This window comes from Homo sapiens, chromosome 8 (assembly GCF_000001405.40).
Source record: "Homo sapiens chromosome 8, GRCh38.p14 Primary Assembly".
NCBI lineage: Eukaryota > Metazoa > Chordata > Mammalia > Primates > Hominidae > Homo > Homo sapiens.
This window is the reverse complement of record NC_000008.11, coordinates 100,479,218-100,501,513: the sequence shown is the minus strand read 5'-3', so window position 1 is coordinate 100,501,513 and position 22,296 is coordinate 100,479,218. Positions and strand designations below refer to the sequence as shown.

General features: G+C 47.4%; 1 long non-coding RNA gene across 2 annotated transcripts, besides 15 other annotated features; it reads right to left on the bottom strand.

Moving 5' to 3' along the window:
* Positions 1-365: 365 nt before the first annotated feature.
* LOC124901992 (uncharacterized) lies at positions 366-21,952 on the bottom strand. Of its 2 annotated transcripts, none has more exons than XR_007061031.1 (2): positions 8,839-21,952; positions 366-1,353 (listed from the first exon to the last, which is right to left on the bottom strand). It is a non-coding gene; the product is annotated as an uncharacterized LOC124901992 (long non-coding RNA). The 2 variants fall into 2 exon arrangements; XR_007061032.1 differs by having other exon boundaries at positions 366-752.
* Positions 1,154-1,653: an enhancer, noted in NCBI's record as "H3K27ac hESC enhancer chr8:101512089-101512588 (GRCh37/hg19 assembly coordinates)". NCBI's record gives its function as "activates a minimal SCP1, AML or CMV promoter by ChIP-STARR-seq in primed H9 embryonic stem cells {active_cell/tissue: H9 hESC(primed)}" and the evidence as "EXISTENCE:reporter gene assay evidence [ECO:0000049][PMID:30033119]".
* Positions 1,654-2,155: an enhancer, noted in NCBI's record as "H3K27ac hESC enhancer chr8:101511587-101512088 (GRCh37/hg19 assembly coordinates)". NCBI's record gives its function as "activates a minimal SCP1, AML or CMV promoter by ChIP-STARR-seq in naive H9 embryonic stem cells {active_cell/tissue: H9 hESC(naive)}" and the evidence as "EXISTENCE:reporter gene assay evidence [ECO:0000049][PMID:30033119]".
* Positions 3,922-4,862: an enhancer, noted in NCBI's record as "NANOG-H3K27ac hESC enhancer chr8:101508880-101509820 (GRCh37/hg19 assembly coordinates)". NCBI's record gives its function as "activates a minimal SCP1, AML or CMV promoter by ChIP-STARR-seq in naive H9 embryonic stem cells {active_cell/tissue: H9 hESC(naive)}" and the evidence as "EXISTENCE:reporter gene assay evidence [ECO:0000049][PMID:30033119]".
* Positions 4,863-5,804: an enhancer, noted in NCBI's record as "NANOG-H3K27ac-H3K4me1 hESC enhancer chr8:101507938-101508879 (GRCh37/hg19 assembly coordinates)". NCBI's record gives its function as "activates a minimal SCP1, AML or CMV promoter by ChIP-STARR-seq in naive H9 embryonic stem cells {active_cell/tissue: H9 hESC(naive)}" and the evidence as "EXISTENCE:reporter gene assay evidence [ECO:0000049][PMID:30033119]".
* Positions 4,863-6,745: a biological region, named in NCBI's record as "NANOG-H3K27ac-H3K4me1 hESC enhancers GRCh37_chr8:101506997-101507937 and GRCh37_chr8:101507938-101508879".
* Positions 5,579-5,873: a silencer, noted in NCBI's record as "tiled region #8717; HepG2 Repressive non-DNase unmatched - State 23:Low". NCBI's record gives its function as "represses a minimal TATA promoter and a strong SV40 promoter by Sharpr-MPRA in HepG2 cells {active_cell/tissue: HepG2}" and the evidence as "EXISTENCE:reporter gene assay evidence [ECO:0000049][PMID:27701403]".
* Positions 5,805-6,745: an enhancer, noted in NCBI's record as "NANOG-H3K27ac-H3K4me1 hESC enhancer chr8:101506997-101507937 (GRCh37/hg19 assembly coordinates)". NCBI's record gives its function as "activates a minimal SCP1, AML or CMV promoter by ChIP-STARR-seq in naive H9 embryonic stem cells {active_cell/tissue: H9 hESC(naive)}" and the evidence as "EXISTENCE:reporter gene assay evidence [ECO:0000049][PMID:30033119]".
* Positions 6,240-6,649: an enhancer, noted in NCBI's record as "active region_27709". NCBI's record gives its function as "activates an Ori minimal core promoter by ATAC-STARR-seq in GM12878 lymphoblastoid cells {active_cell/tissue: GM12878}" and the evidence as "EXISTENCE:reporter gene assay evidence [ECO:0000049][PMID:35858748]".
* Positions 6,910-7,219: an enhancer, noted in NCBI's record as "active region_27708". NCBI's record gives its function as "activates an Ori minimal core promoter by ATAC-STARR-seq in GM12878 lymphoblastoid cells {active_cell/tissue: GM12878}" and the evidence as "EXISTENCE:reporter gene assay evidence [ECO:0000049][PMID:35858748]".
* Positions 7,340-7,389: an enhancer, noted in NCBI's record as "active region_27707". NCBI's record gives its function as "activates an Ori minimal core promoter by ATAC-STARR-seq in GM12878 lymphoblastoid cells {active_cell/tissue: GM12878}" and the evidence as "EXISTENCE:reporter gene assay evidence [ECO:0000049][PMID:35858748]".
* Positions 8,510-8,559: an enhancer, noted in NCBI's record as "active region_27706". NCBI's record gives its function as "activates an Ori minimal core promoter by ATAC-STARR-seq in GM12878 lymphoblastoid cells {active_cell/tissue: GM12878}" and the evidence as "EXISTENCE:reporter gene assay evidence [ECO:0000049][PMID:35858748]".
* Positions 8,620-8,699: an enhancer, noted in NCBI's record as "active region_27705". NCBI's record gives its function as "activates an Ori minimal core promoter by ATAC-STARR-seq in GM12878 lymphoblastoid cells {active_cell/tissue: GM12878}" and the evidence as "EXISTENCE:reporter gene assay evidence [ECO:0000049][PMID:35858748]".
* Positions 8,870-8,959: an enhancer, noted in NCBI's record as "active region_27704". NCBI's record gives its function as "activates an Ori minimal core promoter by ATAC-STARR-seq in GM12878 lymphoblastoid cells {active_cell/tissue: GM12878}" and the evidence as "EXISTENCE:reporter gene assay evidence [ECO:0000049][PMID:35858748]".
* Positions 9,456-10,401: an enhancer, noted in NCBI's record as "H3K27ac-H3K4me1 hESC enhancer chr8:101503341-101504286 (GRCh37/hg19 assembly coordinates)". NCBI's record gives its function as "activates a minimal SCP1, AML or CMV promoter by ChIP-STARR-seq in primed H9 embryonic stem cells {active_cell/tissue: H9 hESC(primed)}" and the evidence as "EXISTENCE:reporter gene assay evidence [ECO:0000049][PMID:30033119]".
* Positions 12,757-13,956: an enhancer, noted in NCBI's record as "BRD4-independent group 4 enhancer chr8:101499786-101500985 (GRCh37/hg19 assembly coordinates)". NCBI's record gives its function as "activates an origin of replication core promoter dependent on BRD2, P300/CBP, MED14 and CDK7 cofactors, and independent of BRD4, by STARR-seq in HCT116 cells {active_cell/tissue: HCT116}" and the evidence as "EXISTENCE:reporter gene assay evidence [ECO:0000049][PMID:35650434]".
* Positions 21,953-22,296: the final 344 nt, after the last annotated feature.

The window sequence follows — 22,296 nt, the reverse complement described above, 5'->3', positions numbered from 1 at the left end:
TTCTGTTCTCTCTCTTTCTTCCTCCCTGTCTCCGCTTCTCCCTTTCCTACCTATTTTGGCTCAGGCCAGTTTGAATTTGGCTTTTGTCTCTCACACTAAAATTTTTCCAAAAAATACCCTAATGGCATTGTCGCCTCACACGCCTGCTTGTCCCGCAACATTGGTTGAGAAAGGCTTAAGGTCTCTGTTTTTGAGTTGTCACAAGGGGACTGAACCATTCCAACCTACAACCTCTTTTGTCCCGTAAAGTGTAAAATAAGAATATCTTTTTAAGATTGAATACATGTATTTTTCTATTATACAAGTCATACAAATATTTAATTTTAAATGAGAGAAAGGGGAAAAATCAGTCATAGTCCAGCAACTGTGATTTTAGCTTATTTTATTAATAGCTTATTTCCTTACAAATATTTCCCCACACGTTTATTTAGTCGCAGGCTTCATGCATACAAAATGCACACTGCTATGATCATCGTAACCATCAGCAAGCAGGCATTGTCATCAGCGCTTCTTTATTTCTGTGGTTTCTCAGTCTCTTTTATTTTCTTTCTTTAAAAAAGAAAAAAAACTTTTTTTTTTCCTGGTCAACAGGGCCTGGGCAACATGGCAAGACTGTCTCTTTAAAAAAGGAAGAAAAAAATTAGCCAGGTGTGGTGGTGCATGCCTGTGCTTCCAGCTACTTGAGAGGTTGAGATAGGAGGATCGCTTCAGCATGGGAGGTCAAAGCCACAGTGAGCCGTGTAAAATAAAAACTAAAAAAGAGGAAAGAATAAACTTAGTTTTTTGAAGAGACACTATGTTGCTCAGGCTGGCCTCAAATTCCTGGCCTCAAGCGATCCTCCTACCTCAGCCTCCCAAAGCACTAAGATTACAGGGATGAGCCACACTCAGCCCAAAGTCTCAATTTTCCATGACTTTTCTTCATGGAGGTAGAGTTGTGAGATGGGAAACTACGTCAGTCACCTACAACAATGCCAACACACCTGTTAGGTGGGAGCTCTTCCGTCACCTGGAGTTTTTATGCTGAGGCCTGGGTCCTGCCCCCAGAGATTCTGCCTCAGTCAGTCCGGGGTGGTTTCCGATGAGCCTTTCCGAGTGGCTCCTGGGTGACACCCACGCTGGCAGGCCTCAACGTGTAGGAATGCTTTTGCTATCCAGATGATAAGCATATTCAAGTTTGAGAAGCCAAGATATAGACAAGTCCTGATTTCAGTTTAGTAGTCATTTACTAAACACGATTCATGCACCTGTGGTTTTCAGAAGCATACATTTCTCTTGGGGACCAAGTTTCCGAAGGGGTATGACCCACAGCTTCAAGCCTAAAGCCCTTGGGAACTGCCAACTTCACATAACCTAAATGGGGAAAACATTAGAGAAGGGTTTCTTTCACTATTGTCTCATACTCTCCCTTCAAATGGCTCAAGGTTAAGGGCAGGCTGTGGGGGAGCTGGAACCTTTGGTGCAGTTTCATAGTTCTCGAGGTTTGGGGACTATGTCAGGGGATGCAGTGATGAATAACCCAAAACATGATCCCTGCCCTCTAGGAGCTGACGACCAGTGGGAAGATGACCACAAAATAAATAACTGCTACAAACTGGGAAATAGTTGGGGCACAGAAAGGCACAGGGTGCCCTGGGAGCAAAGAAGAGGCACTAGCCAGCCCTTGGCGACCAGGGGAGACACCCTGGAAGCAGAGCTGAGGGAGGGTTAGCCACGTGGAGGAAGGTGGGAAGGGCATCCCTGGCAAAGGGAAGAGCAAAGGCAAGGAGGTACAAAACATCATGGTGCCTTTGGGTGTGGAATGGTGAGCAATGGAGCAGGAAGGCAAGGTGGGGCCAGGCCCAGACACCTGCAATTGGATGGGCAGGTGGAGCCTCTGAGATCTCTAGTCCTCAGCCCAACATGGGGCCAGCTTAAGACCATTTGAGAATTTTCCACCAGTCCACTAAGTGGAGTGACTCAGCTTCTCTGATTACTTGTGGTTTCACCTCAAAGGCACCACATTTGGTCAATAAATCCCCAAGCCTGGTCTAGGCCTGCTCACACCTGGCTGTAACCACACATTTTCTAAGGACAAGGACAACGTGTTGGTTAAGTTGCTAGTAGCCAACATATATAGCGGGGGCTTACATGAAATACAGGCATATTTTCACTGAGAAACAACAGGATGCATACAGTGGTCCCATGGTCAAGGTTAAGCATGTCCAGTGTTCTAATCTGCCACCCTTAACTGCCTTGCTACCCAAAGTGGGACCATGGTCCAGCAGCAAGTGCCTCACTGGGTGCTTGTGGCAAACACAGAATAAGCTCTACTTCAGACCTACTGAACCACAGTCTGCATTTTAACAAATCCCCAAGTGATTTATTTGCAAACCGGCATTTGAACAAGTTGGCTTTATTACTGGTTGCAATGAGGAAGATATCATGGGGGCACCATTTCACTAAAAAGGTGTTCAAAGGGACTTTTAGGCTTTGGGCTTTGGTTAGGTGAATTTGGGGAGGGTCTAGGAGGGAAGGGCTTGCTCTGCATTGTCTGCTGTCTGGAAATGGGACAATTCTGCAGCTGGGTATGTTAGTAAATCTTATCTATAAGGACAGAAGACAAGATCAAGGCTATAGTTATAGTTGATAAGGAGGCCCCTGTCACTTAATGAGCCAGAAGGGGGTGTGTCTAGTGTTTTGTGGAGTTGTTTGTGCTTAGACAGAGTTAGGAAGGGGTCTCTTTTGACCTCTTCATCACAGTTGCAGACTGGCGACTGACATCAGTGTTTGCAAAAATAGCCAGGCAAGCTTTTAATAAGATTAAGCCCTAGCTCAAAGTGTCAGGCCATTTCCCGGATGTCAGGGGATACTTTTTCTTTTTTCAGCATTAAAGGTTGAGAGTCAATGTTTTAGTTTGTGGCTTCCTTTTTCAAGGTTGCCTCATGGCCCAATATGGTTGCTAGAACTCCAGCCATTACATTAGTGTTTTACGGTTAAGAAAGAGGGTGGGGAGAGTCAATTTCTTAGATCCCTTTAAGAAGCTTTTAAGGCCAGGTGCAGTGGCTCAAGCCTGTAATTCCAGCACTATGGGAGGCTGAGGTGGGAGTGTCAGAGGCATTTGAACCAGAGGGACTCCATCTTGAGTAGGGGCTGGGTAAAATAAGACTGAGAACTACTAGGCTGCATTCCTAGAAGGGTAGGCATTCTAAGTCACAGGATGACATAGGAGGTCAGCACAAGAAACAGGTCACAAAGACCTTGCTGATAAAACAGGCTGCTGTAAAGAAGCTGGTTAAAACCCCCCAAAAGCAAGATAGTGATAAGAGTGATCTCTGATTGTCCTCACTGCTCATTATATGCTAATTATAATGCCTTAGCATGCTAAAAGACACTCTCATCAGCACCATGGCAGTTTACAGATGCCATGGTAAGATCTGGCAGTTACCCTATATGGTCTAAAAATGGGAGGAACCCTCAGCTCTGGGAATTGCCCACCCCTTTTCCACAAAACTCATGAATAATCCACCCCTTATAGCCTGGCTATTTTTGCAAACACTAAATAATTAGCATATAATCAAGAAATAACCATAAAAATGGGCAGCCAGCAGCCCTGGAAGCTGCTGTGCCTATGGAGTAGCCATTCTTTTATTTCTTTACTTTCCTAATAAACTTGCTTTCACTTTACTCTATGGATTCACCTCGAATTCTTTCTTGTGTGAGATCCAAGAACTCTCTCTTGGGATCTGGATCAGGACCCCTTTCCTGTAACAGGAGGATAACTTGAGCTTAGGAATTCAAAACCAGCCTGGGCAACATGGCAAGACCCCATATCTACCAAAAAAAAAAGTTAGCCAGGCATGGTGGCATGCACCTGTGGCCACAGCTACTCAAGAGGCTGAGATGGAAGGATCACTTGAGCCCAGGAGGTGAAGGCTGCACTGAGCCACGTAAACCAACAATAAAATTCTAAGGCCCCCCCGCCAACCATCTGAATGGACCCTTCCTCTTAGCCAAGGGCATTCCAAAGTTAACCTGAAAAACTAGTTCAGGCCATGATGGGAAGGGGGAGTCAGACATGCCTCATTCTACCCTCCTCCCTTCAAAACCCCTCATCATAACCCAGACATTCTTTTCTATCGATAATAACTCTTTCAACCAATTGCCAATCAGAAAATCTTTGAATCCACCTATGACTTGGAAGTCCCACCTTTCAGTTGTCCCACCTTTCCAGACCAAACCAATGTACATCTTACACATATTGATTGATGCCTTATGCTCCCTAAAATGTATAAAACCAAGTTGGGCACCAACCACCTTGGGTACATGCTGTCAGGATCACCTGAGGTTAAAGGTGTGCTCTTAACTTTGGCAAAATGAACTTTCTAAATTGATTGAGACCTGTCTTTGACACTTTTGATTTTACAGCTGTGATCCTGCTGCTGCACTCCAGCCTAGATGACAAACTGAGACTCTGTCTCAAAAAAGAGAGAGAAGCTTTTGGGACCCCAGCCCCAATAATTTTCATTTATACCTCATTGGCTGTCCCTAGTTTCAAGAGATTTGGGAAGTACAGTCTTTTACTTGGATGTATTGCTGCCTGCCACCCCCCACCCCCATCCCAAATCAAGTACTTTTAGTAAAGCAGAAAGAGAAATTGGGAATTGGTAGGTGACTGACTGACAGTCTCTATCTCAGACAGGGAAGCCAGGGCTCAGGAATGGGGAAATTCCAGGCCCTGGAGGGTGAATATTTTTTCTTCTCTTCTTTATCAGTGCTTAACATTCCTGCAACCAGAATTGCCCTGAGCTTCCTTGGTAAAAAAGAAACAACCTGTCTGCCCCATCTGTAAGAAATGTTTATAAGGCAGAATTCCCTTCTCAGGTTTTCTATCCTGCTGGCTGGGAAAGTAGGAGTGATATATAAATGTAAGAGTCAGAACAGCCCCCAAGGCCATGGCCACGGTGGGAGAACTGTAGGGATAAAGAAGGAGATCGGTCTGCTCTACAGGAAGGCTTTATCCCATCCTTAGGGAAGGTGAATGATCCTTAAAACAAGGCAGTCAGAGCTAGTAAGAAGGAAGCCTGGCTTCCCTTTTCATTCCACAAACCAGCACAACTCAGAAAAACGAGTTTCAGGCACCATGTGACCTGCTGCTGAGGCGCCCTCAGAAAGGGTGGTGAGTGTCTCAGCATATGTTGTCCTCATGACACCTTCCACTTACCCACCCTATCCTCCACTCCAGGTTCTGGATCCCCTTTCGTCCCCATGATAATCCCTTTCTGCAGGAAGGGAAACTGAGGCTTAGCAAGGGTTAAGCAACTTGCTCAAGATCATACAGCTTCTAAACAGCAGAGCCTAGCTTTCCACCCAGTTTGACCCATCCCAGCCCCTTCTCCTTCCACTCCCTTTCACAACAGGGAGGCTCTGGCCTAGACTTTTAGGGCCCAGCTCTGAGCCAGGTGATCACTCCTTTCCTGCAACCTCAGCTTCATCGCTTTCACGCACGTCCGTGTGAAGAGACCACCAAACAGGCTTTGTGTGAGCAACAAGGCTGTTTATTTCACTTGGGTGCAGGCGGGCTGAGTCCGAAAAGAGAGTCAGCGAAGGGAGATAGGGGTGGGGCTGTTTTATAGGATTTGGGTAGGTAAAGGAAAATTACAGTCAAAGGGGTTGTTTTCTGGCGGGCAGGGGTGGGGGTCACAAGGTGCTCAGCGGGGGAGCTTTTGAGCCAGGATGAGCCAGGAGAAGGAATTTCACAAGGTAATGTCATCAGTTAAGGCAGGAACAGGCCATTTTCACTTCTTTTGTGGTGGAATGTCATCAGTTAAGGCAGGAACCGGGCCATCTGGATGTGTATGTACAGGTCACAGGGGATATGATGGCTTAGCTTGGGCTCAGAGGCCTGACAATTGCCTTCCAAGCCATCCTCCCATTTCCCAGGTGAGGGTCTTAGGGTGGGGCAGGAAGAGACTGAAGGATGCAATATACTTGTAAAAAGACGTCTAGCTGACAAAACTGCCTCTTGCAGCCATTTAGACCCATTTCCCCTAATTCGGGCAACTCAGAATATGAGAAAAGCATTCAGCTGTTGCAAGAGTGTTATTTTACTCATTACAGAGAACAATTATTTTGAATCTATGAGAATTGTCTAGAAGTCACATGTCATTTTCACTTTCACCTATTAACGCTGAAGCTTGCATTCAGCTGTTTAAAAACCTTCCTAGTGCAGAGGTAGCTGGCAGCTAGCAGCCCGCAGGCAGGCTGGGTCTCAGGCCTGTGCCCGAAGCCACTGCTCTATGGAAGCATAGACCCACTCAGCAAGCTGCAGTGCTAGGCTCAAACCTGAATATATTTTGAAAGAAAGAAAGGCCTGCCAAAAGGACACAGTGAACCAACAGGAAACAATCAACATCTGCCATTATCTGGACTCTCCCCCTGCTTGGGAGCTGCGTTCAGCACGGTCAGGGAGCCGAGGGAGGGAGGAATGGGGCTGAGAGAAAATGGAGTTCCTGGGCCTGGGTGAGACCCCCTCGCCTATCTGCCTGCCTCACTCCCAGGCTCTGCAGTGGGCCAGGAGCCAGAGCCAGGACTCGCCTACAAGGGACATCTGTGAAGCTCTTTGAGCCGAAGGCCAAAGCTGCTGTCTCTATGATCAGGGATTCCGACAGCAGAGTCCCCAGTGTCCTGGCTACCATGTTAGTAGAGTCATGTTTCAGTTTACTGGGTACAGAGGAGACCCACTGCATGGGGCCAAGCAGAGGGTGTGTGTGTGTGTGTGTGTGTGTGTGTGTGTGTGCGTGCGTGTGTGTGTTTGTACACACCTGCAGTTCTGGGGAGTCAGGGTATTTGCATAACACACATATCTTTGCAGATACCAGACAAACAGGAAGTTTCAGAACCTAGTCCGTTTCCTTTCGCTGTGAATCAGTAGCCGCTTTTTTCTCACATAGAAATGATGACAATCACAGGGTAGGCCATGGACGCGGAGTTCACGCGAACAGCACAAATGCCTCCAAAGTCTCCTCCGGTCAAGGGACTCCCTGTATTCTCCATCCCTGCACTCACTTCTGCGGCCATGGCCCCGCCCGCCGGCTTCCTAGAGCGCTTGAAGACACCTCTGAATCCCAGCCACACACCAGGAGCACAACAGACTCCCGCCACACAACATCTGTTACACTAACGCTTGGAATGGGGTCCAGCCAGGAGGCTTGGGGGAGCCCCCACCCCCGAGTTCCCGGTGAGGCTCTTGTCACAGAGAGGGACTGCAGAGTAACAATCACGCCCTGGACTTGGCGCTGGAATGCCTGGGCCCAGAATCCCATTCTTCCCAGCAAGGCCTTGGGCACGCATCTGGCCCCTCTGAGACTGGGCTTCCCTGTCAGTTAAATGAGGCTGATAACGGCTACCCTGCAGGTTTGGGGTTAACATTACATATAAAACGGAGGAGGATTAGGTGGCAAATCAAAGCACAGGCTTTGACCGGGCACAGTGGCTCACACCTGTAATCCCAGCAATTTGGGAGGCTGAGGCAGGAGGATCATTTTAGCCTAGGAGTTCCAGACCAGCCTGGGCAACACAGTAAGACCCTGTCTACAAAAAAAGTACAAAAATTATCCAGGCATAAAAGTGTGTGCCTGTAGTCCCAGCTACTCAGGAGGCTGAGAAAGGAGGATCACTTGAGCCCAGGAGTTTGAGGTTACAGTGAGTTATGACCATGTCACTGCACTCCAGACTGGGTGAAGGAGTGAGACCCTGTCTCAAAAAAAAAAAAAAAAGAGAGAGAGAAAGAGAAAAAACCCAGGCTTTGGAGTCAGATACTTGAGTTCACATCTCAGCTTTACCATGTATTGGCTATAAGCCTTTGGGCAGATTACCTAAGTTTCTTAAGTCTTCATTTCCCCATCTGTAAATGGGAAAAAGTGGAAATAAGAGAGCGTCTACCTGAGAGTCTATTGGGAGGGCTAAATGATATAATCACTTAGCCCCAGGCACAGTGCCTGGCTCACAGGAAACTCTGAATAATGTGAAGCAGACTTCTCACCACCTCCTCCCCTCCTCCCTCTTCACACCCACCCACTGCCGCAAGAGGCATGAGTTAGGGACCGCAGCAGCTCTCCTTCTCCAGCTTGTGCCCAGAACCTGGGCTGGCCCCTAAAAAGGCTTAATAAATCAGTTAAATAAACAAATGGAAACTCCTGGTTCATAGCATGGGCTAAGGAAATATATCTATAAAAACATACATTTAAACAAAAGCCAAAGACCAAATCCCACCCTCTCTGTTTTTGAACTTCCTATGAGGGTACAGTATAGAAGAATGACTACAAACATCACAAGCTTTAACAGCAGTCAGGTCTGGTTTGCATCCTAGCTCTGCCACTCAAAAGTGGTGTGTCCTTTAAGCTCTCTCAGCCTCCCTTTCCTCATCTGTAAAATGGACATCATATAGTCACTCAGCCACACTGGGTTGGTTTTGGTTTAAATGAGATAATTAATGCATGCAAAGCACTTAACACAACGCTCCTCCTGCAATAAGCATGTGGAAGAATGTGTCAGATAAATCCCACGCTCGGGACCTTAGAAGAAGATGATGTTCTTTTTTCAGGACAAGCCTTGGGGCCGATCTCCCCTGTGCCTCATTTCTCTTGGTCCTCTCATTCCCAAAAAAACTTCCTCTCCCTCCTGAAGCCTAATGGTCTTCTCTTGTTGAACAGCTGGTGCTCCTACCCACTGTGGGACTCCTGAAGAAGACAGTGAGCTACAACCCACGCCCTTCTACCCGCCACCTCACCCCAGCCACAGTAGGAAAGTAGAGGGTGCAAGAGGCCCGTCTCTGTGCAAGGAAGAAGGCACACTCACCCAGGCATTTCTCCAGGGCATGTTTGTTTCACTGGCAAGTGCTCCAAGGGGAAGTCCGGGGTGCCGTGGAAGCATAGGATAGCTGTGAAGGTCTGGCATCGGACAGCCTGGCTTGGAATCTAAGGCTCTGCCACACACGAGGCTGTGTGATCTCAGGCAAATCGCCTACCCTCTCTTAACCTCGATTTCCTAATCAGTAAAATGGGAACTAATCTTAGTACCCAGGGCCGATGTTGAAAATATTCAATAACCAGCTGAGGCACTAACCTATTAAATGGCAGGCAGCCAGTACAAGGGTGCACCTGCTAAATATTAGCCCTGCTCACCTCTCCTGCAGAGGTTGCTGTGACACCTGATATGTTGCAAACACTGCTAAACATTTGCCACTATTTTTACTATTTTGATGTTGAACTCATGTCCTGCAGTTCCTAGCCTCCAGTGGAGGGCAGTTCAGTGAAGGTGGTGACCCTAAACAGACCTGGCTTGGTTCTCCCTGAGGCTAACTAAGGCTCATTTCCCTTCTTGCCTCCCTATGTTCTGTAAAAGGTCACAGAACTGCTGAGTATGGGATGAGACCTTAGTCTTACCTGTCCATGTAAGTCTTGGACAACATTCCTCTGCTGCCCATGGATGGGAGCTGGTTTCCCCATGAACGTTCTTTGTAAATTTTCATCGCAGCAATGTAGAAACCAAATATCTAATGGCCCCATCACTGAGTACACATTTGCAGTACAGACCAAGCCCATGTGTAGCTAACATATCACACCTGGGGGGCCTCTTGCCTTGTCTGGAAGGAATGCCTGGAGATGTTGCTTGTGCACATATCACTGGACAAGTTTCTCTCTCAGGGGCCAGAGGTGCTGCCCCTCATGTTATCACTCCTTGGACCTGTGTTTTTAAAAGGGCTCCCAGGGCATTCAGGGCAAGGAGGCAGCCCTCCATAGCAGCAGGAGTTTAAGCTCAGTCATCCCCAGCTCTGCATCCTGTGCCCCAACAATGCAGGGCCACAAATATCAAGGACATGAAGCCTAGCTGCCCAGAGATCAAGGTCATCTCTGCCCCCAGGGAAAGCCTGCTGGAGTCCGAATCTGGTAGCAGCCAGGACAGCTGGTCACCCAGGGAGGCCTGTGATTCCCTGCCTGTGCTGTGACAGCCCACTGGACCCTCCCATTGTGAGGATTAATAGAAACCATCCCTCTCCTGCAGTCCCAGCAGTACCAGCAGCCCCGGCAGTACCAGCAGCCCAGGCTGCACATCCATGAAGTCCCCTCCTGTCATCTCATAAAAGATGCTCCCACTGCAGACAGCATGGAAGCCAGCCAGGGAGGGGGATGACTAAGCCTCAGAGCTCTAGCTCGGGAAATGCAACTGATATGATTGCTGTCCACCGAAGCCAAAGAACAACATGCAAACCCAAATGGGATTTTCTGGTAGCTGTTTTATCCATGGATTTAAAAAAATTAGAATCAGAACCTTCATGAATAGAGTCCAGCAGGAATCCATCCATGGGTTATGGGAGCGCCTGTATCAGTCCTTGGCTATGTCATGACTAGGCACAACATGACATAGCAGTGTGCTCACCAAGCTGCCACTTCTTGTGTGTAAGCTATGTTCTCGCTCAGTCAGGTTTTTGTATATATTTTCTCACCTTTGATTTATTCCTTCCCAAAAACCTATCAGGAAGACATTATATAATACAAACAATTAATTGGTAACATTTATGAAACTTTTTCAGTGTGCCAGGGACTGTGCTCCATGCCTTTAACTAATATCTCTTTTATTCCCTCCAAGAACCTCCAATGAAGTAAGTACTGTTATTGCCCCATTTCATGAATGAGGAAGGAGAGAACTGGGACCCCATCCCAGATCTGCTGCCCCTGGAGCCAGTGAGCTTCCTGGTGGCTTCCTCCTGCCTCCTGTGTGAGTTCTGCTTCCTCTCATTCATCTCCTGCTTATGCAGGCAAGGGCCAGGGGGCTGCAGACCCATGGCCAGAACTTGGGCGGCTGAATTGGCCAAGCTCCAGGATGCAAAGCTGCCTGGCTCCTGGCAGTTCAGAATTCTGGGGCCGTGCTCACCACCTCCCTGCCCAGGAGATATCAATACAGACCATGTCAGCTCTCCTGTTCACACAAATAAAATAACTTTCATTTGTGCGTCAGCGTGGAACATTATTACTGACTAATGTCCCTGGCTTGCACTAAGGTCCACTCTTGGCATTGTACATTCTATGGGTTTGTAATGACACGTGTAGGGGCCAAGGAAAACTTCCCCTTCACCCTCTGAAGTTTCACTGAAAATTAACAGACAAAAGGCAGATGAATAGGAGAAAAGGCACACACATCTATTTGGTCATAGTGTTACATGACAGGGGAGCCTTCAGAACGAAGACCCAGAGATGCAGGGGACTCTGCCCACTTTTAAGCTTAGGTGCAACAAAATATTTAGAAATGTGATTGGACAAAAAAGGGAATGAGCTAATGCTCATAGAGTGAGTGGGGCCCCCCAGCAAGCCCTGTCTAGATTCCTCGTGGCCTCTCTGGGCAGCATTGCTTCCTGCTGGGTACGGGGCAGGGCCCTCTCTCGAATGGGGGTCTTACGACCGACAACCAAACAAGGCAGGTTAGATGATTTCCTTATGACACATTTTTACACAGAAAGGTGGTGGGGTGGGGGTGGAAGTTAGAGTCATATTTTTAGGTTTTATGACTGGCTTTGGGGAAAAGGGGTTTGGAAGTTTCTATGACCCACCTTGGGAAAGAGGACTTCTGGTTTCTATGGCTAACCTTGGGGGAGAATGAGGTCAGGGATGGGAGGGCAGGAGAAACTTTTGCTTCTGAGGCATTCATTTGGGGGTATTGTTTTCTGAGCCCCAGCCCATATATCCACCATTCTGGTATGATATAGAATTGTTTCACCGGCCTTAAAATCCTCTGTCCTCTGCCTTTTCATCCTTCCTTCCCTCTTAACCCCTGGCAATCCCTGATGTTTTCACTGTCTCTATAGTTTTGCCTTTTCTAGAATGTCATACAGTCATGTATAGATGTAGCTTTGCAGGCTGGCTTCTTTCACTTAACAATATGTATTTAAGGTCTTTCTGTGGCTTTATAACTCATTTAAAAAAAAGAAATCCAAGATTTTAACTCATTTCTTTTTTTTTAATCACCAAATAATATTGCATTGTCTGGATGTACCACAGTTTATTTACCCATTCACCTATTGAAGGACATCTTGGTTGCTTCCAGGTTTTGGCAAGTATGAATAAAGCTACCATGAATATTTGTGTGCAGGTTTTTTTTTTAGACAGAGTCTCACTCTGTCACCAGGCTGGAGTGCAGTGGTGTGATCTCGGCTCACCACAACTTCCGACTCCCTGGTTCAAGCGGTTCTCCTGTCTCAGCCTCCTGAGTAGCTGGGATTACAGGCATGTGCCACCATGCCCAGCTAATTTTTGTATTATTAGTAGAGATGAGGTTTCACCGTCTTGGCCAAGTTGGTCTTGATCTCCTGACCTCGTGATCCACCCCACCCGCCTCGGCCTCCCAAAGTGCTGAGATTACAGGGTGAGCCACCCTGCCTGGCCTGTGTGTAGGTTTATATTTATTTATTTATTTATTTTATGAGACAGAGTTTCACTCTTGTTGCCCAGGCTGGAGTGCAATGGCACAATCTCGGCTCACCGCAACCTCTGCCTCCTGGGTTCAAGCAATTCTCCTGCATCAGCCCCTTGAGTAGCTGGTATTACAGGCATGTGCCACCACGCCTGGCTAATTTTGTATTTTTAGCAGAGATAGGGTTTCTCCATGTTGGTCAGGCTGGTCTTGAACTCCCGACCTCAGGTGATCCATCCGCCTCAGCCTCCCAAAGTGCTGAGATTACAGGCGTGAGCCACCGTACCCGGCCTGTGTGCAGATTTTTATATGGAAGTTTCCAACCCATTTGGGTAAATACCAAGGAGTGTGATGCCTGGATCCTATGGTAAGACTATGTTTGGCTTTGCAAATAGTATTCTAAACTTAATTTTACTCTGGATGTTTCATGTTTTAATGGGATTACTTGGTTTAGGGATGGGATTACTTGGTTTAGGGATTTGCAACCCTTCCAGCAAGAGCAAGAGCCTTCCTAAGTCCCCGGGTATGACAGCCCATGGGTCCCCTCCCTCCCTTCCTCAGCCTCCCTGTCACTCTCCATTCAGCTGAAGCTGCTCTCAAACCCACCTGGATTCTACATAAACAGCCTGGTTCATACCTTCTCCAAGGCAGGAAAGTGATTGTTGAGATTTAAAACCAGCTAAAATGCAGTTCCTGCTGAGGGTACACAAAGATCTCATTTATATCAAGCTAAATAGTTTAGAATGTCAATCAAATTTGAAAGAAATATTTTGGGAAAATTCTGAAATATAGCCAAACTCATTGTTATATATATTATTCTAATATGACCTGAATTTTTATGTCTTCCTTCTTTCTCTTCCCTGAATGCTGTTTCTCTTATTGAATCACTCCTTCCTTTTCTCGACATACATACCTCTAACAGGTAGGGGCAAGTCTTATTTGTCTTTGTAATGCCTAAGCAAATATTTATTGAATGAGTATTTTGGAGAAAAGTATCCTGTTTTCCTTCCGGTTTGGCAAGGTCTTTCCACTGAGTTCACCTTTGCAGGGGTGACCCCATGAGCAGCATTGGAATGTCATTCACATGCTGACATCATAGGTGTTGAAATGTACTGTTGACTTCCCCAGGTCACAGAATCTTGGAGGAGATGATCAGGGTAGGAGTTGAACCTCAGGGGTGCATCTTGGGATTCCAGGCCTTTCTCATCAGCTCCTAGAGGAGTGTTGCTGCCATCAGAGTCCTTGCACACTGTCCCTTGGGGTCTCACCACTCCTTATACCATGGAGGGTCGCTGCCGTCCCGCCACCAGGGGTACCATCACCTCGGCTTTGCTCCAGCTGTTCCCGCCAATTTCCAGAGGAGCTCCTGGTGCCTTGGGCCCCTGATACTGTGCTGCTCTGTAAGCTCTGTAAGCCCCTCAGCCCTGGGTTTTCCATTCTTACCAAGCTCCTCAAAGGAAGCCTGTTGATGGCTGGTTTGTCTGATTAACCTGTGCTGCCTCTACTGAAGAAACGAACTCAAATTTCCAGACAGCACTTTGAATGACATGTCATATTCAGCATCTCTCCCTCCTCCTCATGATCCAGGTTTGGCCCAAGAAGAGCCCTGCTCACGGAGACCCTCCTCCCACCTCACAAGAGGATAGCTCACCCTCCCTGCTGTGTTTAGGGGCCCTAATTTTGGCATCCTGGGTCTTGCCTGCCAGCTCCAGTGTCCTCGTCACTTTTATACTCCCCTAGGGTGTGAGCTCTCTGAAAAGCAGAGTTTTGGTGGACCCTGCTCCCATTTCAGAATCCCTGTGTGGGGCGTGCTGAGTGGGCCCAGCTTTAGTTAGGGTAGGCTGAACCACCATTAAAAAAAGATCCCAAGGCATGCTGGCTGAAATATGGAAGTGTATTTCTAGACCACCTTCCCGCGTGGAGGCTCCACGGGGGACCCAGGGACCCAGGCTTCTTCCAGCTATGGCTCCATCATCACCCAAGGGCTTTGAGCCACTGCAAGGGGAACAGGAGTGTGGAAGGGGCAGGCTGCTGTCTGAGAAGCCCCTCACTCCACTGGCCAGAATTCGTTTGTGGCCACCCCAAATGCAAGAGGGGCTGGTAAATACTGCCTAGTTCTTGCCCAGCAAGAAGTAGAGAATGGGTTTTAGTGGAAAGCCAATAGCCCCTGCCACAGATCTCATTTCTCTTCCTCCAATTGCTCCTTCTCTTACCTGCTTACTCGCCCCATGTGTCACTTTTGCATTGTAAAGGACTGAGGATTTTATAACTCCAGGACTAATACAATCAAGAGGCAGCCACCTATTGCTCCTAAGAAGCAGATAATAGAATCTGCTCACCAAGAGTAATCATTACTCTCTTGTAACACACATCATATCCCAGCACTGGTCTGCATTAATGTTCTTTGAGTTTTTATTTTGTTTGTTTTAAAATTTATTGTCCATGCTGTTATTCATTATCCCCAGGCCTCACTGATGTGTACAAGTTCCAGGGGAAATTAAAGCCAAACATTAGCAAATATCTTCCCTGAGCACAAGTACATTTCAGAGCTTCCAGCTCAGTATCAGTCTTGTGATATTAACCTTTGAATAGGTTATGTGAATCCCATTCAGACACATTCAATGTGTTTACAATGATATTGTTTGCAGAAAACAGGACCAGACTTGGGATTACAACCCTTGACACAAGCATGTAGCTTCCACCCCAAATCCAATGAAGGCTGGTCCTTGAATCTGCCAAGGAACAAGAGAAGTCAAGTTGATTTAGGGGCGTGCTGGACATCTGAATAATGTGCACTTTGAGTGTGGAGATGAGGGAGGAGCAAAGGGAGAAGAGGGGATCAAAGGCGGCATCTCCAGAAATTGCATGGTGGTCCATGGAAATTTGTCCAACTGGAGGTAGCCATCTACCTTGTGGTAACAGACTCCCCCAGTTTTGTGTCACCCCGGGTTCCCTTTTCTTTTCCTAATTCTTCTTATTATGAGTGTCCTGCTAAGGGGTTCTGTTCTTGTTTTTCTCCCTGTTTGTGCCTCAGAGAAAGTATTCTATCTTGTGACATCTTGGGATTACTTTTATACCCAGGCCTCTCAAATTAACATCTCCCACCTGAGACTTCCCCTGAGGCTCCAGGTGGGTGAAGCCAGCAAGGCACATCCCTGAGATGATCCACTTCGCATCAGACTCTGTCAAAGGCAGAACAGAGCTCGGCTGTCACATGGGATTCCCAACCCTTTCTGTTGAAGACATTTATCTCCACATTGCTAGAAAGGGGGTTGTGACTGGGCCAAGTCTTGCTGTGGGCAGGATCCATGGGTTGATGACACTAACCCAAACGTGCTGGAGACGTCTTTTCTTCTTATCAGTTTACAGCTTCTCACATGTCGTCACCAAAGTCTGTGTTTTCTGTCACGCTGCCTCCTGGATTCATTTCTTCCTCCTCACCTCCATTCCTACCACTGCGGATCCACACAGAATGCCATCATCTTTGACCCCACACTCCACACTCCAACTTGGTTACACATCACCTTCTTTGCAAGTTTAGTTTCATCCAACCCCATGATGGTTCTTTCTTAAGGAATGTTCCCAGGAAAGAGATGACAGCTTTCTGGCTGAGGCATGTTGGAGCCCTAGCAGTAGGGATTGCTAAAGGAAGCAGAAAACCAGGAAAAGCTGGGGTCAGGGCTTTGGGGACAACCATGCTGAGGGGGCCTGTGTGGAGAAGACCTGGCGATACTCACATTAATCATGGTGGTCACAGTGGCCTTGGAAACCCAGTCTTAATTCCAGCTGGCATCACTGTCCAAGAGCATCCCGTCAGTTGGGAGGACAACAGGAGCTTCTGGGCAGCAGGAACGCTCAGTCAAGTGACAGGCAGCATCATGATGCAGGTGGCTTTTCCATTGGAGCTCCCCTTTCTCTTGGGGTATGATCCAGTATCCTCAATTTAGCAGACAAAGCCTTTTGCAAACCACCACATCCATCCTACTTCCCAGCATGAATCTGGTATCCCAGGCACCAATGGAATCATCTCTCACCTGTCACAGCTGTGTGTCCCACCTGGTTTCTGAGGTGATGTGAGCACTGTGATGAGGTGAAAGGACTTCCTCTCCCCACTTCAAGGTCCAGAGCTCGTTTGCTGCCTCAGACTCCCTGAGCTGCCTGAGCTGCAGCCTTCCTTTCTCTCATCCTCTGGGGGATGGACTTCAGCTTTGGTCTTCCCCACTGGAAATTCAATTTGACTCTAAAACTGGGCCCACAGCCTGACAGCTGACCTCCTGCCTGCTCTGGACAGCCTCTCAGGTGCTGGATTCAGCAGAGTTACACCCTTAGAGGCAGAATCTTGGGCCTTCAATGAGGACTACACCCCAGTAACGCACTGCCCACACAAAAGCTACAAGCATCCCTAATTCACCTCTGAACCCTCTTCAAATTCTTCCTAGGTCTTCTGCTAGATTCCCCATCCCAGACGGAGTTTGTGCCGTTCGGAGCCTGGTCCGCTGCCAACACACTCACTGACCTCAGTTTGTCCTGATGCCATCCCTCACTGTTCCAGGGCTTAAGACCTTGCTGATACTCTTCAATGTGTGACTTGGAAAGCTTCCATTTCCAGGTTCAGTCCTCTCCACCTTGATGGCCCCCTGCCTGGGCCTCTGCTCCACATTCCTTGTGAGAATCCCCTGCTGTCTTCCCTTCCCCCAGTTTTAACTCTCCCGGGTACCAGTGCCTGGACTGCCTCCTGCATGCCAATGCCTGGACACCACTAGGCACGACCCTCTTCCTCCCTGGCACTGCCTCCATCAGTAGTCTGCAGTGGCTGCTGATCCTTCCAGCTCGGGACCCCTTCTACTGCCTCTTTCTCTCCCCACCAGCAGGGAAGACTCCTGTGTGCTGCCTGATGCCAGAGCCCACACAGGAACTGAGGACCACTCCCACCTGACCCCTTCCTTCCCACTGGTTTTCAAGCCTGGAATCCCTAATCCATTGCATTGCATCTAGGCTTACTTGCACCTTGTTCAAGGTCCATGATCTTCTATGGAGCCTCCTCTGATGAGCATGCAGGGGATTTAAGTTCTATCTCATTGTATTAGCCCATTCTCACTCTGCTAATAAAGACATATCTGAGACTGGGTAATCTCTAAAGGAAAGAGGTTTAATTGACTCACAGTTCCACATGGCTCAGGAGGCCTCAGGAAACTTACAGTCATGGCATAAGGGGAAGCAAATATGTCCTTCTTCACATGGTGGCAGCAAGAAGTGCCAAGCAAAAGGAGGAAAAACCCCTTATAAAACCATCAGATCTTGTGAGAACTCACTATCAGGAGAACAACATGAGGCTAACCGCCCCCATGATTCAATTACCTCCCACCAGGTCCCTCCCACAACACGTGGGGATTATGGGAACTACAATTCAAGATGAGATTTGGAGGTGGGGAGGGAAACAGTCGAACCATATTACTCGTTCAGGACCGTTGGGTTGGGGTAGCTATTACCAGACCCAGATAGGTAGTCCTTAAGCAGAGTCCTCCACTGTGGCAAAAACTCTAGATTTTCTGCAGCATAAAATGACTGGGATTCAAAGGAAACAAAAACCTCACTATATTGCTTCATAGTGCTAGAAGTAAATAAACTATCCCTCAATAGAAGCTTTTAACCACAAAGCAGTTGTGGGGTAAGGCACACTTTGTCCTTGGACAGAGGACAGTATAGAAACGCCAGGCAAATCCCCTCTCTAGGGGCTGTGGCCAAAAGTTACTGCTTCCTCTGTTGGGGGGGATATGTTGTGACCTTAGGAAGTTTGGGTGAAGTTTTTACCCCAGATGCTCCTAGAGGTGGAAGTTTCTCCAGGTGTGGTCCTTGGACCACCTGCATCAGAACCGTCAGTGGTCTTTGTTAAAATGAAGATTACTGGTCTTCCCCCAGACCTACTGAGCCAGAACTTTGGAAGGTAGGGCCCAGGCATCTGCATCCTTATCAGGTACTGTCTCTAGTGGCTCAGATGTGGTCAGGTGTTAGGCACAAGATGCTGTCATCAAAGGCTTTACAGCACACCTCGGGATCCTGGGGCCTCCTGCCTCAGTTCAGAGACCTGTTGGACCCACTTCATGGCTCCAGGCCGAGTCAACCCTGATTTTGGCAATCTGCCCTATGCCATTTTGCCTAAGTGGGCATTCTATGGATATTTGTTGAACTAAACCAGTACCCTCGCAGGCCAGGCTTTGTCTGCTCTATTTTGGGGGGGGGGCACCCACTGGGACACAGAAAATGCACAATCTATCCCTGACAGTAGATTGATGAAGGCGTGGGTCCAGGCTGTATCAACAAAAAGAAAAAGAAGAGGAGACAGACACTTTAGTTATCACCCAGCCACATGGCATGGCTCCTCCAGTGGTTTCTGGAGGCAGAAGAAGCTGTTTCATTCATGCTCATTGTTCATAGATTCTCGGCTGGGCAGAGACACCCTTGGCATGACTCAGGAAAGGCAGACGTCAGCACAGATGAGTTTTTGCTAAGAAAGAGCCAACACTGGCAAGCGAATGGAGTTAACCTTGAGGGCCTTTAACAATGACATGGCCAGACAGAACTTCTGTGGGCAATTTTGGCTTTTGTTCTCTAGAATTAGAGTTATGTCAGCTGCCCTTGGTATGCTTCCGGTGTGGCTGGTAAACTCCCAGAGGGGATCTGGTCCTCATAAATGTCACGGGGAGAGGCTATCCCATGGCAAAGGTCATGGCCAAGTCTTACTCAACAAACAGCCTATTTGGCAATGCCCTGTTGGCCTGCTTGGAGGCATCATGTGTGGCTTCTGTCTACAGCTGCCCCTAAAGTCCTCCCAGTTTCCAGTGGAATGGTGTGGGAATCAGTGACTGGGATGGCCTTTCTCACCTACTCAAGGTGAGGGGGGCATGCCTAACCAAGGAACTTGCTGGAAATGAGCTGACCTTTGTCCTCTGGACTCCTAGATTTTTGAGCCTCTTGCAGGGTCTGACTGGGGCCTGGGATCACTCAGTTTAAAAGAAGAGCAGGTATTTGAATGTGTCCTGGAGAAAACTTAAATCCTCTGGATATAATTTTCTCATAAGTCAAAGTCCAAAAGGAAATCAGAAAAGGCTGAAATAGCCCTCAGACAATGCACTAACAACCAAAAATGAAGGGACTCTTGCTGTATCTGGGAAATGCACATAACACAAGCATGGGAAGAAGTGGGAATGACTGGGCCATGAGGATCATGCTCATTCATGCTCGTGAAAATCAATCAATCAACAAGCATTTACCAAGCATTCACTACAGGCCAGCCTCTCTGCTGGGATACAAAAGGTATGCACAACAGCCCCTGGCCTCAAAGGCTCAGATTCTGAGCCTTACTTTGAATCCTAAATATTCAATTTTTCAGTATCTTCCATACTTCTATAGTTGAAATCTACTTGACATAGAGTACTCAGTTGCAAGCAACTTTAGCTGACTTGAAATTAAAATAAATTTAGTAGTAAACGTGTAACTGAAAGGCTGAGGAGCTAGGCTCAGAAAAAGGCAGAAACCATGAGAGGCTGTAAGCAGGAAGCACCACTGGGTAACTCCACAGGAATAATAAGTACAGGAATAAGGAATAACCCCATTGTCATCACAGCAAGATCCAGGACTCCAGGGTTTGCACCACCCGCATCCTGGCATTGGACTCTGCACACCACAGCCTGAGCCTCTGCTCTGGCTGCAGCTGAAACTTGAACAGATTCTCTACAAACCCTGTTTCTTTTCATCATTAGTTGTCAACTCTAAGTTTGGGGCCAGAGTCCCGAGCCATATGCCCACATCCTAGCTGCAAGGGAAGCTGGAAATAGAGTATCTGGAAGTTTCTGGTTTTTAGTGGGATGTGGGCACCCATGCATGAGGCAAGGAATTTCACAAACATAGGAAGGGGTTCAGATGCAGGGCAGCCAAAATGAATCACAAATGTTCACCACACCTCCCACACCTTGCGCAGGAACAGGAAGTATGAATGTGAAAGAATAACAATTAGTGTTTTTGTTTTTTTGAGACAGAGTCTCACTCTGTTGCCTAGGCTGGAGTGCAGTGGCACAATCTCGGTTCACTGCAACCTCCACCTCTCGGGTTCAAGCAGTTCTCATGTCTCAGCCTCCCAAGTAGCTGAGATTACAGGTGCGTGCCACCACACCTGGCTAATTTTTTTGTATTTTTAGTAGAGACGGGGTTTCACCATGTTGGCCAGGCTGGTCTCGAACTCCTGGCCTTAAGCTATCCGTCCGCCTCAGCTTCCCAAAGTGCTGGAATTACAGGTGTGAGCCACTGTGCCTGGCCAATTTCTATGTTTTTTTTAAAGGAATTATTCAGACTAGGAATTGTGCTGGTTATCAATGCAATAGGCGTTCTGCCCAGTGGGAGTTGGGGGATTCTTAATGAAAAGGGAGCCCTTGAAGAGTGTGAAGGTTTGGGATAGGTGGGGAGGAGTGGAGTGGGACCCCAGCCTGGGGAAAACTACACAGTGGTGGGAGTTAGCTTGACGCAGTATTGGGGCAGTGAGGAGACAGCCTGACCTCTCTCACATGCCAGCTCTCTGCAGGATCAAGGTCTGACACGCTGGGACCCATCTCATCTACCATCTGACAGTCTCTTCAGCATCACCCAGTAGTCCTAACTGACAGTGGCATCACCACTACTCCTTTGAGTGAGTGAATGAGGAGGGCTAGATTTTGACAGCCCAACTCTGTCACACTTGGAGTGACAATGAGCTGAAATTTGTTGCTACTAATTGCTCAGTGTTGCACTGTCCTTAAAGTGTAAGTTTAGCCTGGGGAAGAGAGATTATTAAAAATGAAAATATCGATTGTTTTTGCTTGTACATAGTATCTTTCATGATACTCCTTGTAGAGAAAAGCAACAAGGTCGTGTGGCCTGTTAGACCAACGACCAATAGGGATGATCATCAACTAGTGAGCTTTTAAAAATGATTCCCAGCTTCATCCCAGATCTACTTAATCGGGACTTCTATGAGTAGAACTGAGGTATCCATATTTTTTAAAGGCTCTCCAGGATATTTTGGGGAACAGGCAGATTTGGAAACTGTGCCCTAGACCTCTCAATATGCCTCACTTTTCTCATATATTCCTTTGGTTTCCTATATATCCTAAAACTCTCTCTTCATTTTTCTTCCCACCTAACCACATTTTTAACTCCTTTTTCCCAACATTTTACTATGAAAAATTTCAAAACATACAGAAAAGTTGAAAGAATTATACATCAGCCATGCATATGCCCTATCTCTAGATTATACATTTGTTAACATTTCACTGTAGTATTTGCTTATCCTTTATCTATCCGACCATCTATCCAAACATCCTTCCGTCCTAACTTTTTGATGCATTTCTAAGTGAGTGGCAGACCTCAGTATCCTTGACCCATAAACACTTTAGCATGCGTATCATTATCTAAAGTTCAATGTTTGTGAATGGTTGTTTTGTATTTTTTAATTTTGTTGTTTATTTATTTATTTGAGATGGAGTCTTGCTCTGTCACCTAGGCTGGAGTGCAGTGGTGCAATCATGGCTCACGGCAGCCTCAACCTCCTGGGCTCAAGCAATACTCCCACCTCAGCCTTCTGAGTAGCCAGGACCACAGTCTCATGCCACTATACTGGGCTAATTTTCTTTGGGGTGGGTAGAGATGGGGTCTCCTTAAGTTGCCCAAGCTGGTCTCAAACTCCTAGGCTCAAGTGATCCACCCACCTCAGCCTCCCAAAGTGCTGGGCCCAGCAGTTCTTTTTTAAAAAATTACAAAACCTCAGCTGGGTGCGGTGGCTCATGCCTGTAATACCAGCACTTTGAAAGGCCAAGGCGG